This window comes from Homo sapiens, chromosome 4 (assembly GCF_000001405.40).
Source record: "Homo sapiens chromosome 4, GRCh38.p14 Primary Assembly".
In the NCBI taxonomy this organism is placed as follows: Eukaryota; Metazoa; Chordata; class Mammalia; order Primates; family Hominidae; genus Homo; species Homo sapiens.
In genome coordinates, this window is record NC_000004.12 from 116749446 (window position 1) to 116762507 (window position 13062).

General features: G+C 34.1%; 1 long non-coding RNA gene across 5 annotated transcripts in view; it reads right to left on the reverse strand.

Moving 5' to 3' along the window:
* Positions 1-1504: 1504 nt before the first annotated feature.
* Positions 1505-13062, reverse strand: part of LOC107986306 (uncharacterized) — a 201750-nt gene continuing 190192 nt past the window's right edge. For 3 of the 5 annotated variants that reach the window (XR_001741797.2, XR_001741796.2, XR_001741799.1), the window contains 2 exons: positions 4709-4854; positions 1505-4156 (listed from right to left, as the gene is read on the reverse strand). This is a non-coding gene — a long non-coding RNA (uncharacterized LOC107986306). The remainder of the gene's footprint in view (positions 4157-4708; positions 4855-13062) is intronic. The other 2 variants (XR_001741798.2, XR_001741800.2) reach the window with 2 other exon arrangements.

Sequence of the window (13062 nt, forward strand, 5' to 3'; positions counted from 1 at the left end):
AACTAATACTTCAAAAATAAATCACAAGATTGTTTAAGTAATATTTAGAGACAAATGAAAATGAAACACAACATGCCAGAACTTATACAAGGAAGCTTTGAACACTGTTATTAGATGTAAATATTATAATGAAAATGAGAAAAATATCATATCAACTACCAATGGTTTCACCTTAAGAAATTAAAAACAGAACAAACTAAATCTGAAGCGAGCAGAATAAAGGGAATAATACAGACTGGAATAGAAATAAATAAAATAGAATATAGAAAAGCATTAGACAAAAACAATGAACCCAAAACTTTGTTTCTTAAAAAGATGAACAAAATTGACAACCTTTAACTATATTAGGTGGGAGAAAAGTAGAGAAGAGTCAGATTACTAAAATGAAGGATGAAAGACAGAACATTACTATAGCTCTTATAGAAATAAAAAGAGTATGAATAATTTTAAGTAAAAATTAATCTCAATAAAATGAGCAAAGGGTTAAGACACAACCTACCAAAACTGAATAAAAAAGAAAGTATGAATAATTCCATATCAATGAAAGTCATTGTATTAACAATGATAACTTAAAAAATTTTCAACAGAGTAGCCCAGGACAAGATGGGTTCACTTTGAATTTTACAAATGTTCGAGGAAGAGTTAACACTGATATATTACAATCTCTTTCAGAAAGTAGAAGAGGAGGGAACACTTTCTATGAAGCCAGCATTACCCTGATCCCAAAGTCAAGAGAAGACATTACAAGAAAAGACAATACAAAAAAAAATCCATCAACAAAGTAATAAATATTGCATAAACTTTTCTTTTTTTTGAGTTGGAGTCTTGCTTTGTCACCCGGGCTGGAGTGCAATGGCGTGATCTCAGCTCCCTGCAACCTCCGCCTCCCGGGTTCAAGCAATTCTCCTGCCTCAGCCTCCCAAGTAGAGGGGATTACAGGCACCCGCCACCACACCTGGCTGATTTTTGTATTTTTAGTAGAGATGGGGTTTCACCATATTGGACAGGCTGGTCTCAAACTCCTGACCTCATGATCTGTCTGCCTTGGCCCCCCAAAGTGCTGGAATTACAGGCGTGAGCCACCACGCCCAGCAAACATTTTTTTCTATAAGAATATTTCCAACCCCCATCTGTTAGTAATTTCACTTACCTTACAATGCTTTTAATACTGCAAATATTTATTTTTCCATGCTATTATATATGTATATACACATATATATAATTTGAATTATAGAAAAATGGTAGTATTTAAAGCTGACTTTAAATCTATATAAATTTAGATATAACTATTTCTTTTAGTGATCTATTATTAATGTTTCTTCATACATCTAGTTCTAAATATCTACATATATAGATATCTAAATATCTACACTCAAAGTTTAAATAATTTTACTAAATTTGGTTATGATAGTTTGCGTTTTTGACTGAGACACAAAAAATCAAATAAAATATTGTGGTATTTATATAAAAATAATTAAACATATCCATATTTTGAAGTCAGACAGATCTGAGTTGCTTCCTGGCTTTATTTTTATTATTTTTTTGACTTTAGATGATTATTTAATCATTTTCTTACCCTTGTAACATAGGCGCAAGAATATCTACAACATAATAGTTTTAAGCAGTTAAATAAACAAAATTGAAAGGCACTTGAATGCAATGCCTGTCAAAGAGTGGGGATTAGTAAGCAATGGTAAGTACATCAGCAAAATGGTACTGCTTTGAGAACCATTTATACAATTAACTTCTGGGCTTGCTAAAAATCCAGATTTCTATGACACCTCCTCAAATTCTGATTCATATAGGGAAGGAGGAAAAGAACAAAAATTTGTATTTTGGACTTGTATCTTTGAGCTCATTTTTATGTTTATTATATCCTAATTCCTATGATTCCTAAGAACTAAAAATTATGTTTCCAGAATTATAGATAAAGTATTATTGCAATATGCTTCATTTTGCTGTTATCTGTTATCTAAAAAGTACTTTTTTTATTTTTTCTTTTGTATAGTAGCTAATATATTCACTTAAGTGATTTCATCATCAGTTCAGTCCTTAAAATGATGGTTCACAAATCCTGGAACACTTAACTTCTACTTAGCCGTACACTGCTAGCAATATAATCTTTTGAGCATCTGCATTTTTAACAAACTTCTCATTAATTCATTTTAATTTGCCATTATTCACAAATCACTACTTAGGATATTTAGGCATGATACCAACTTGAAAATATTTATAAAATATGATCACATGTACTCCCTACTGTCATAAGATATCTGTAAAAGACTCTAATAAAATTTATTCTGCACAAATTAAACAAGAGAAGTAGCAAATCTTCAAACCAAGAACAATCAAATTAAAAATTATTTTGTTGGTAAGAAATTGGTTAACACAGAACCTTGCATTGATGTGTTATGGTTGTGAGACAAAAAGGTATATTATCTGTTTAAAATTTGCATAAGAACCTTAGCAACATAACTTAGTTCTTTATAAGCAATTTCAAGGAGATCACTATGAAAATTCAATTTTAAAATGACTCTGTTAACACATTAATGAAAGGATTTCAATTTATTTTATCTAATGGGGTCAAAACACAAGTAAGATATTAGATTCTGGAGTTGTAGCAATATTTTATGATAGTCTTCTTTTTCAAAACCCTGTGTGCCAAATTAAATCTTGGAAGAAAATTGATGTACCATTAGATTCTATAATGATTGACTTGGCCACGGGCAAGCTGCTTACGGTAGATAGTTATAAATGAAAGTTGATTGCCCAGCTGTTGCTGGCACAAAAAGGGACTGTATCACTGAGCAATAGTTTCACTTCTCTACCCCAGCTTTTCTATTTTTGGCAGTTTGATGATGTTTTTGATTTTTTAAAGACATTTTTTGATAAAATTCTTAAATGTATACACATTTAAATTTAGGCACAACTGATTAAAGATAGAATACACTTCTTCAAAATGAGAAGTATAGGTTATTCAATACTTGTTATGATAATAATCTATAATATTTATGGGCAAATGATTCACTTATATGTGTAGGATCTAATAAGCAATCAGCATCATTAACAGAAATCAACATTATTTGAATTTTATTTATTTTCACAAATCAAATTATGAGTATGATATAAAATTTCCTATAATAATATTTTTGTCTTCTCAAGTAAAAACTAAACTTTAGTGGAATAGATACAGAAATTAAATGTGAAACATTACAGTATACAATGAATAAAGCAGTTTGAGGACTGTATGCATTAATGAACTTCAAAATCAATTTGATGTCATTATGGCTTAATGTTTATAAAATTATTCATTTAGTATACCTTTTACATTTAATTGCCTTGGTTAACCTGCTTTGTAACAAAATACTCTCAAACCTAGTAGTTTTAAACAATTTATTTGGTTTCAGATTTTTGTGGGTTGGCAATTTGGGTTGGCTCAGGTAGGCATTTCTTCTATGTACCTCAGCTGACTCACCGATGCTTCTGCTATCCGATGCCAATCACCTGAGAAGTGCACTGCTTTTGTTTGTTTGTTTGTTTGTTTTGTTTTTTAGAGAAGCCTCAGCTGTTTAGCCTCATCTCTGCTCCGTGATGATTCTCATCTGCCAGAAGGTTAGCAGCTTTATATGGTTCTGTGTTTCCCAAGAGCAACAGCTAACCTCTCCTAAAGCATACGCATTTTTAAGCCTCTGCTTGTGTCACATTTGCTTATTGCCTCATAGGCAAAGCAAATCACATCGATAATCTTAAAGTCACTAGGAGAAGTCATGACTGAAGGACATGAAACAAGAATGGAAAACTTTTGCAACCACTTTTCGAATCTACCACAGTCCAACCTCTGGCCACAAATTACCCACAATTTTTCCACATAAAAGATATTCTCATTGCCATCCTAGGACTTTCAAAAGTCTCATGAAATCATGGTATCAACCTTGAAGTTCAGAATTTCATGACCTTCAATTGTGTTCAAGAAGGTAGCTCCTTGAATACACCTACTCTTCATCCTCAAAGTTACAAACTAAGATATTTTCTGACTGTGACTCACCCAATATAAATGTCGAGGAGATTACCTGTAAGGGACACTCTTATTCCCATAAAAGCTGCTGCTCTTCAATGTTCTGAAATCCAACTGGGTACACTGCAAGGTTTATCTGTTCTGGGGAAAAATAATACATTTTCATTAGGCTTTTATTTTGCTCACTGGAAGGGGCTTCTCTCACCATTCTTTGAGCCTCTTGGCTCTGCCCTCTGATTTATTAACTCTTTTGCAAGACTTCCTTTATTTTTCCTAAGAAATGGTTTATAATGCTGCTAAATAGTTTTGTCAGTGTGCTTTCTGCTTGTAAACATTTGGGGGTCCGGAGACCTTCTCACAGTTTGAGTTAACTTGGACCCCTTTAGTCCAAGCTGTTGGCCCTCTTGCTACATCAACTTTTTAGTCAAGGCTGCATGTTTCAAGTTTTTGTTTTTCACAGTAGTCCTTCAGTTTTAGATATCAAAGTTTTTAAATAAATTTTCTGAAACTCTGTGCTAAACAAAACTAGCTGGTTTAAGCATGAATCCAATAAAAAATCATGGATTATCAGTTTGGGTTGGGTTCAGCTGCGTGACTCTCCTGCTCATTTCAGCCAGGCTCACTCATGTCTTTAAGTTATCCAGCTGGCTTAGATTTGGCTGGTCCGAGGTGGCCACAGCTGCTACAGCTTACCTATTCTCTGCAAGTTACATTTTCTTCCAGCAGACTATCCCAGGCTTTTTCACATGGTGATGGATGTCCCTGTCTCAGATTGGGTTTTCCAGAATTAAATTCACACATGGGTTGTAGGGTGCAAATTATTTATTTGTTGCTATCTTCTATTAAAAAAAAGAGCACAAAAAATAAAAACACATTTGGAAAGAGGGAGAAGGCAAACTTTGAAACAGTACCAACAAATCCTTGCTCCAGTCTATTAGGATCTCTAAGGTAAGTAGACTATCCAAAAGGGTTCACCTCCAGCAGCATGAATCACTGCAGCTGAGGCAGGCTCTGAAGGAGCTGATAGCTTTAGATTGTTTGCTAACTGCACTACCTGAAGTTGTACAGGAAGTCTTTCCTTGAAGACTGAGAGATGCTTCTCCAAGGTAAGCCTACATTTGCTTCTCAAATGTAGCCTATTACATTTCCTAAAGCTAGCAGCAAACAAGTCACGAGATCGAATTGGCTAATATTTCAGTGCTCTAAATGAAATCACATGGTTAAATGATACAACAACAAAGGAGGTGGGCACAAAGAAAGGATGAATTTGGGGCAATTTTTGCAAATTACTATACTGTGGTTCTATATTGTAACTTTCAGTGGCATCTTGCATTAAAAATAAACAAACAAATGCATATCACTATATTCTTATGTTGAAAATTAACTTTGTTCTCCCTTAAATATTTAAAAAGTAAAAAATAAGAAACTCAGGTGTTTAAAAACTGTGAGAGTAAACCTTAACAAATCCAGGAAACCAGCTATGTGTAACACTATTTTGATGAAGCCGAAGATTAACAGATACTTTCTCACAAAATTTAGAGCACTTTGAATAGTAGGTCCCAATGACATATATTTTAGATATCAAAATATTTTCAACTAGAGATTGCATTTTTTATTATGATGTTAAGATGATTTAGAGTTGAGTATCATCTAAATACTGTTTTCCTGATAAGGCTCACCATTTTCTATTTGGCTTCTATTTAACTTTCTCTTCCCAACCAAGAGCACTTTTAAATTCCTGACAGAAGGCTCAGAAAACAGAAGCAGCTTATACTCTGTTCTGTTTATGGCACTTTTTGAAAGACATATTCATGAGTTGGCAGAGACAGAGGCCAAGGCAGCCCAGCATAGCTGTTGATCATGTCTTAGCAAATGATGAGAGCCCTAAGGCATTAAGAATGTTCAAGCGTTAATAGTGGTTTTCCCACAAAGCAGTTCTATAAACTGGCATTTTGGCAAAGTTAGCACATCTTGCTTATTCTTTCAATAATTGCTTCTAAAACTTCATTATAAGTACAAAATATTAATCAGTTACTCACAATTAGATGTAAATGTCAGGCTTCTAACATAAATAAAATTTATTAATAGATTGCATTGATAACATTTTTATTACAATGCAAATAATAAAATTGTATACTTTGGATTCTAGCTATAAAATTATTTTAAATGGTTAATTTTGTTTTCTGAAAGTATCAACTGTTCAAATGACTGTAATTTTGCTATAGAAAATGTCCTATAAATAATATAAAGGAAAATTTAGCATTCCTAAATTTTATAGGAAAGCGATCTCAAATTTTTCACAACTTTATAATACAATGACTACAGTATTTCAGAGTGATTATTATATGAGTCTCACAGAAAATTAACTTCTTGCATGAAAGGGACCATAATGAGTCTGATTTTAAAACTGCCGTTTGAGCATCAGTCAGTGTAGGAAAACACTGCTATGGGGTTTTAGTTACATATCTTATTTCAGTTATTTAACTCAAAAGCATTGTTAGACCTAATATTCTTACAAATTGCCCCAAACATATGAACGTATGCCAACACATCATGTTTTTGTTAACTCAATTTTTTTTTTTTTTTTTTTTTTTTTACTATGACCCTGGTATACAAACCAAAGATACACTGATCGAATCATCTCCAGAGTTCATTACGGTAGCTTGGATGACAGAATCAAGTTTCAAATTAATTTCTGTTGGTTGAGATAAAGGCTGGTTCAAAAAAAAAACCAGCTATTTACAAGATGTGAGATGCATGGCTTATGATTACAAATATAAAATAGGACATTTGATATATTGAACATACTCTATGAATATTATTTTAAATATAGAATATATTATGAGATAGAAACAGAAACATTATTTTTTCTTCGTCTCTGCTGCCCACTTACATTGTTTCTGTATAGCCTTTATTTCTCTAATGCTAAATGAAATCGTAAGACATTTCTCTAGGATTCCATCCAGGTGATATGGAGGCGCCATACAGAGCCCTGCCTCTCCCACTGAATGTAACAATCATCTATGGACGGAATGAATGGGGAGGGTATTTGAGGATTTTGAAAAGTAAAGAAGCTGCTGGACAAGAGAAGGCACCAAAACTCAAAGTGCCACTAATCTGCTTATTTTTTATTTTCCTCTCTAACCACTCTAGTCCTCCACATGAACTTAGCTTAGTTGGAGACCTTGGATAGCAAAGCTTGGTACAGATAGAAAGCTCCAAGAGATGCCTTCTACTTCTGCCTAAAGCAACAGGGAACTGAATGCCTAAAGCTCAGAGTAAATGGGCAAATTTTCCTGTATTTTTAAATTTGTTATGTCTTGTACGTTTTTCTTTTCTCACATGCCTCAGACCCTAGAATTCCACTGGCAGTGGGTGAGCAGCAGAGACAGAAACAATACATTACTACAGGCTAACAGTAATTGAAACAATGAGAGATTTCTCATCAGAAGCCAAGTAGTATAAGAAGGAACCCACACAAAATATTTAAAATACTGAAAGTAAAGAATTCTCGGTGCTAAATTCTATAGACACAGTAAATATCTCTCAGAAATAAAGGTGTAATAAAGGTATTTTCAGAGAAGAAAAATTCATAAGACTAAGAGAATTCATAGTCAGCACATAGGCTATGAAATTATTGCTAGAGAATAAAGTAAATTCTTCAGACAGAAGATAAGTAATACCAGAAGGAAACCTAGTACACAAAAATATAAAGAAGGAAGGAAAAGCAACTGTAAATATTTAAGCAATATTTATTATATATGTATGTCTGACAGGATTTTCTATATAATATAGATGTAATATATAAGAAAACTATAGCATAAATTGGAAAGGGTAAAGGGAATTATATTGCAGTAAGGTTTCCACATTTAAAATGTAGAACATTAAAATATATATTCAAAATATTACATACATGTATATGTATATATACATATATATGTACAATATGGCATTTTATAAGGTCCATCAAGTTCACTTATTCAATAACAGCAATAATTATATGATGCTACACACTGGAGTAGCACTACATTTTATCAAAGAAGACAAAGTTACAGAGCTAAAATTCTAGGGGTTGATATAGTAATTAAGTAATTGATTATCTGTAAATCATTTATTTATAGTTATATTTTTCCAAGATGCCATCATACAATTTTTTGACCTAGAAATCCTCATTCAAGGAATAGAACCTATGGGTAGATTTGCAGGTATATAATAATATATGCAGGGCTATTTTTTGCACCATCCTTGACTGTATCATTGTTTCTGATAGCAAAATGATGTTGAAACAAGATGTTCATCTATAGAAGACAGAGTAAATTATTATTATATAACCATAAAACATCTTTGTAGCTGAAATAATAAGGGATGTTTTCATATTGATATGAATTGGTCACTAAGATATGCAGACATAAAAGATGTAAAGAGATATATTAAAAATCAAAGTACCTAACATTGTTAATAATATACCACCATTGGTGTTTAAGCTGGAAAAGGGAGTATATGTGTTGGCTTGAATGTGCATAAAATAGTCTCAAAACGTTCTTCAAATACTCTATGTTATAATTTGCATTTACATATAGGACTGATAATAAGGGGTACAATGACTGGAGCTAGATTTTCACAATATATTATTTTGCAAATTTTAAGTTTGGAAACATGAAGTGCATTAATACAAAAAAACACATAAATAAAAATTTAAAAATTATAATTTTGAGAAGGAGTTGCAGAGTGCCGGGTGTTCATCTCTTTTTGTTGTTGTATATTTTTCTGTTTTGTCAGTGGTGTGAAACATTGGAGAGAATATATGTCAGTGCACCCTAATGAGAGGTGAGAGAAGAACCCCCTGTCAGAGATCCTTCTAATTACATCCTCTCCCCTTACCTCATTCCAACAGACTATAGTGAAAAGCTGGTCCCTGATATTGATACAAGTGTTTATACCCTTAGGTAAAGAACAATTGTAATAAATAGGCTCAGAGGAATCTTGAGAGTAAAATATGAATCCCTTCCTAAAGATAAGTATAGTTTGAAGTCAGGTGGCATGATGCCTCCAGCTTTATTTATTTATTTATTTTTGCTTAGGATTATCTTGGCTATCTGGGCTCTTTGTTGGTTTCATATGAAATTTGAAGTAGTTATTTTTCCAATTCTGTGAAGAAAGTCAATGGTAGCTTGATGGGGATAGCATTGAATCTATAAATTACTTTGGGCAGTATGGCCATTTTCACTATATTGATTCTTCCTATCCATGAGCATGGAATTTTCTTTTTCCATTTGTTTGTATCCTCTCTTGTTTCCTTGAGCAGTAGTTTGTAGTTCTCCTTGAAGAGGCCCTTCACATCCCTTGTAAGCTGTATTCCTAGGTATTTTATACTCTTTGTAGCAATGGTGAATGGGAGTTCACTCATGGTATATAAGCACTTTTCTAATAGTGCCATAAAGCATTATTTTTATTTAAGTTATACAAATTATGAAGCAATTAAAAGCATGAGTGTGCGACCAAAATTTTCCTGATTTTTTGATTCTATGAAATATTTAAATATAAGAAAATTGTTGTGCTGTATTACCCTTGCTTTAACTCTCTTATACAGATGAATACTGGAAAGATTTGAATAATAAGCAGAAAAGAAATTGTTAATATGATAACATTATAAAATAGTTTGTGGAATCATAGTAATTATACTCTTTAAAATGCAGAGGAACTTTTCTTCTCTAGGGACAATGGGCATTGGTAGTTGAAAATAGAATTTGACATCCAAATATCCTAGGAAACTTAAAGTGATTCCAGGTACCGGTTGTACATAGTGATATTGCAATGAACATTTTAATGTTTTAAATATTTCTAATAGAATTTTCTTATAATCAATTTAATATTTACAGCATTAGGGGTGTCTGAATCTAGTTAAAAATCATATTTGGCCTTCTCATATAGCAGCAGATGCACTATTTGCATAAATAGAATGTTATATGTGAGCTTGTGTTTTTGGATGCCGCTGGATTTATAGCACTAAATAGTGTTTTAAGCAGATGGAAAAGAAAGTCTGCTGATGTAATAGATGTCAAGGTAAAAAAGCATTAATTTAGTTCTATTTAAAAATAGTAAATGTTTTTACAGTTACTCTCATATACTTTTGGATATATGAATGTATTCCTTCACTCATGGATGTATAAATCTTATATAGATAATTTGAGAAATAAATAAATGGCTTTAGTATTAATAATCCTTTCAAAACCCAGAGTGTTTTACACCTTAAATATATTAAATAATTTTATAAATCTATGTTTTTGTCTAATTCAATGTGAATAACACATTTGAACTCTTTGGTAACCACATATTAGTACTGGCTTAGGTTACAGATACCATCTTTCAACATCATAATTATATTTTAACTTAATTAATTTGAATTCATCATAACTACAGGCTTAATAACTTTTTAGAATGTATGATATTGTTATGTATATTCTTGGCATAAAAACACCTTCAGAGGAAAAGAAGTTAGAAAACAAGTTTTCTGTTTAAAATATGATACTGACCCATTTATCTTGTGAATGTTTACATCATTTAATTATAATACATCAATTAGAGACATGCACCATAGTGGAATAAGCATAGCTTTGAGTCAAGTATTCTTGAATTAAAATTTGTGCTCTATACTGATTATATGGCTAGACACAGAAAAGTGAATTAGCTCTGTTTTCTCAGAGGCATTAAAATGGATGATAAAGCTACCTCACAATCTTGTTGAAATTTTGTAATTATATATTCATGTATATATATAGCATGCATTTATATGTAGTTATATTTATACATACACATATATAATTACAAAATATATGTATAATTGCATATATACTCACAAATACATATATAATATGTATAAGTAATATAGAAATAATATCTTTTCAGGAAGATGTGCATAGATTATATGAAAACACTACATCATTTTATTTTAAAGATTTGAGCATCAACAAATTTTGGTATCTGCATAGGTCCTGGAACCAATCCCTCACTGATACTGAGATATGATTGTATTCTGGTGCATATGCTGCTTTCTGTGCCATGAGTAAAAAATTCATTTTTTTGAACAAGAATTCACATTTCTTTTACTATCATTCAAGACTGTTACATACTGACTTGTTAGCATGAGAGTACGGTAAAATCTTAGGCTTTTCATAGATGTTCATTATGCCTGAATATCTTTTTTTCCTTTATATAGCTAAATATTTTTCTATCATATGGGTAGAAAATTTGATGCAAATTTGGTTATTATGAATAAATAATATGGCATACTTAAATGCTAATCTTTCTGTGAATACATATGCTTTCATTTCTCTAGGGTAAATGCCTGGGAGTAGAATTGCTGAGACAGGGAAACAGGCAATTACAATAGTTCCTTAAGAACTGTGCTTGTTAAACACTAAAATACAGGAGGAGGTGGATCAAGGTGGCCAAGTAGAACTCTCCAGCAATTGCCTCCCCCTGCAAAAACACCAACTTAAACAACTATGAACTCAAGAAAGCACCTTTATAGGAACTAAAAGTCAGATGAGTGAACAGTATCTGGTTTTAACATCATATTAAAGAGACACTGAAAAGAGTAGCAAAGACAATCTTGAATTGCCAACCCTACTCCTTCCACCTCTCCTGGCAAGAGCCTCATGGCATGGAGATAGAATCTGTGTGCCTGAGGGAGGGGAAGCACGGTGATTGTGGGACTTTGCATTGGTACTCAGTGCTGCACTGTCACAGCAGAAAGCAACACAGGGCAGAATTCAGGCAGTGCCCATGGAGGGAGGGTTGTAGAACAGCCCTAGCAAAGGGGAATACTCCACCCCAGTGATCAGAACCTGAGTTCTGGCTAGCAACTAAGGTTCTGACCACTGGGATGGAGTATTCCTTTCTGCTTAAGTGCTCTGGCATTTTAAATAAACTTGAAAGGGAGTCTAGGCCACAAGGACTGAAATTCCTGGGCAAGTCCTGGTGTTGTGCTAGACTTGGGGCCAGGGGACATGGACATAGGGTGCCTGTGATCTAGTGAGACAGCTGGAGTGGCCAAAGGAGTACTTGCGTCCCAGCTCCCAAAAAACCCAGGCAGCACAGTTCTCAGCTCCAGGAGAGACTTTTTACTTCCACTTGAGGGGACAAGAGAGAAGAGTAAAGAGGACTTTGTCTTGCAACTTGAATACCTCCTCAGCCAGAGTAGAATAGAGCACCAGGCAGAGTTCTGAGGCTACCCACAACCCCCATTTCAGGCCCTAGTTCCTGGGCAACATTTCTTGACCCCCTCTGGTCCAGAACAGAACCCACTGCCTTTGAAAGGAAAGATCCAGTCATGGCTGGATTCACCGCCTTCTGACTAAAGGCTTCTTGAGCCTTGAATAAATATTAGTGTTAGTCTGACAGAACTCCCTGTGGTCTTTAATGAGACCCAGTGCTGTGCTGGTTTCAGGTATGACCCACCATATTTCCATCAGTGGGACTGAGGGACTGACTGAGGAAAAGAGAGGGAAGAGTATAGAAGACTTTTTCTTGCAGTCTGGGTAGCAGCTCAGCCACAGTGAGGTAGAGTGCCAAGTGTGTTTCTGGGGTCCCTGATTCCAGACCTTGGCTCATGAATGGCATTTCTGGACCTGTCCTGGGCCAGGCAGGAAGCCTACTGCCCTTAAGGGAGAGAGCCAGGCCTGGCAACTTTCACCAGAAACTGATAGAAGAGCTGTGGGGTCTTGAGCGAACATCAGGAGTAGCCAGGCAGTACTTGCTGCAGGCCTGGGCAGGTGGTAGCCCCAGAGACTCCTTATGCTTGAGAAAAGGAGAAGAGTGGGAAGAACTTCGTATTGCAGCTTAGATGCCAGCTGAGCCATAGAAGAATAAAGCAGCATGTAGATTCCTAAGGTTCTTGACTCCAGGACCTGGCTCTCAAACAGCATCTCTGGACCTTCTCTAAGCCAAGGGAGAGCTAAAGACACTGAAGGGAAGAAAAAAAGCCTGGCCAAATTCACTACCTGCTGACTGTAGAGCCCTTGTGCCTTGAGTGAACATCAGCAGTA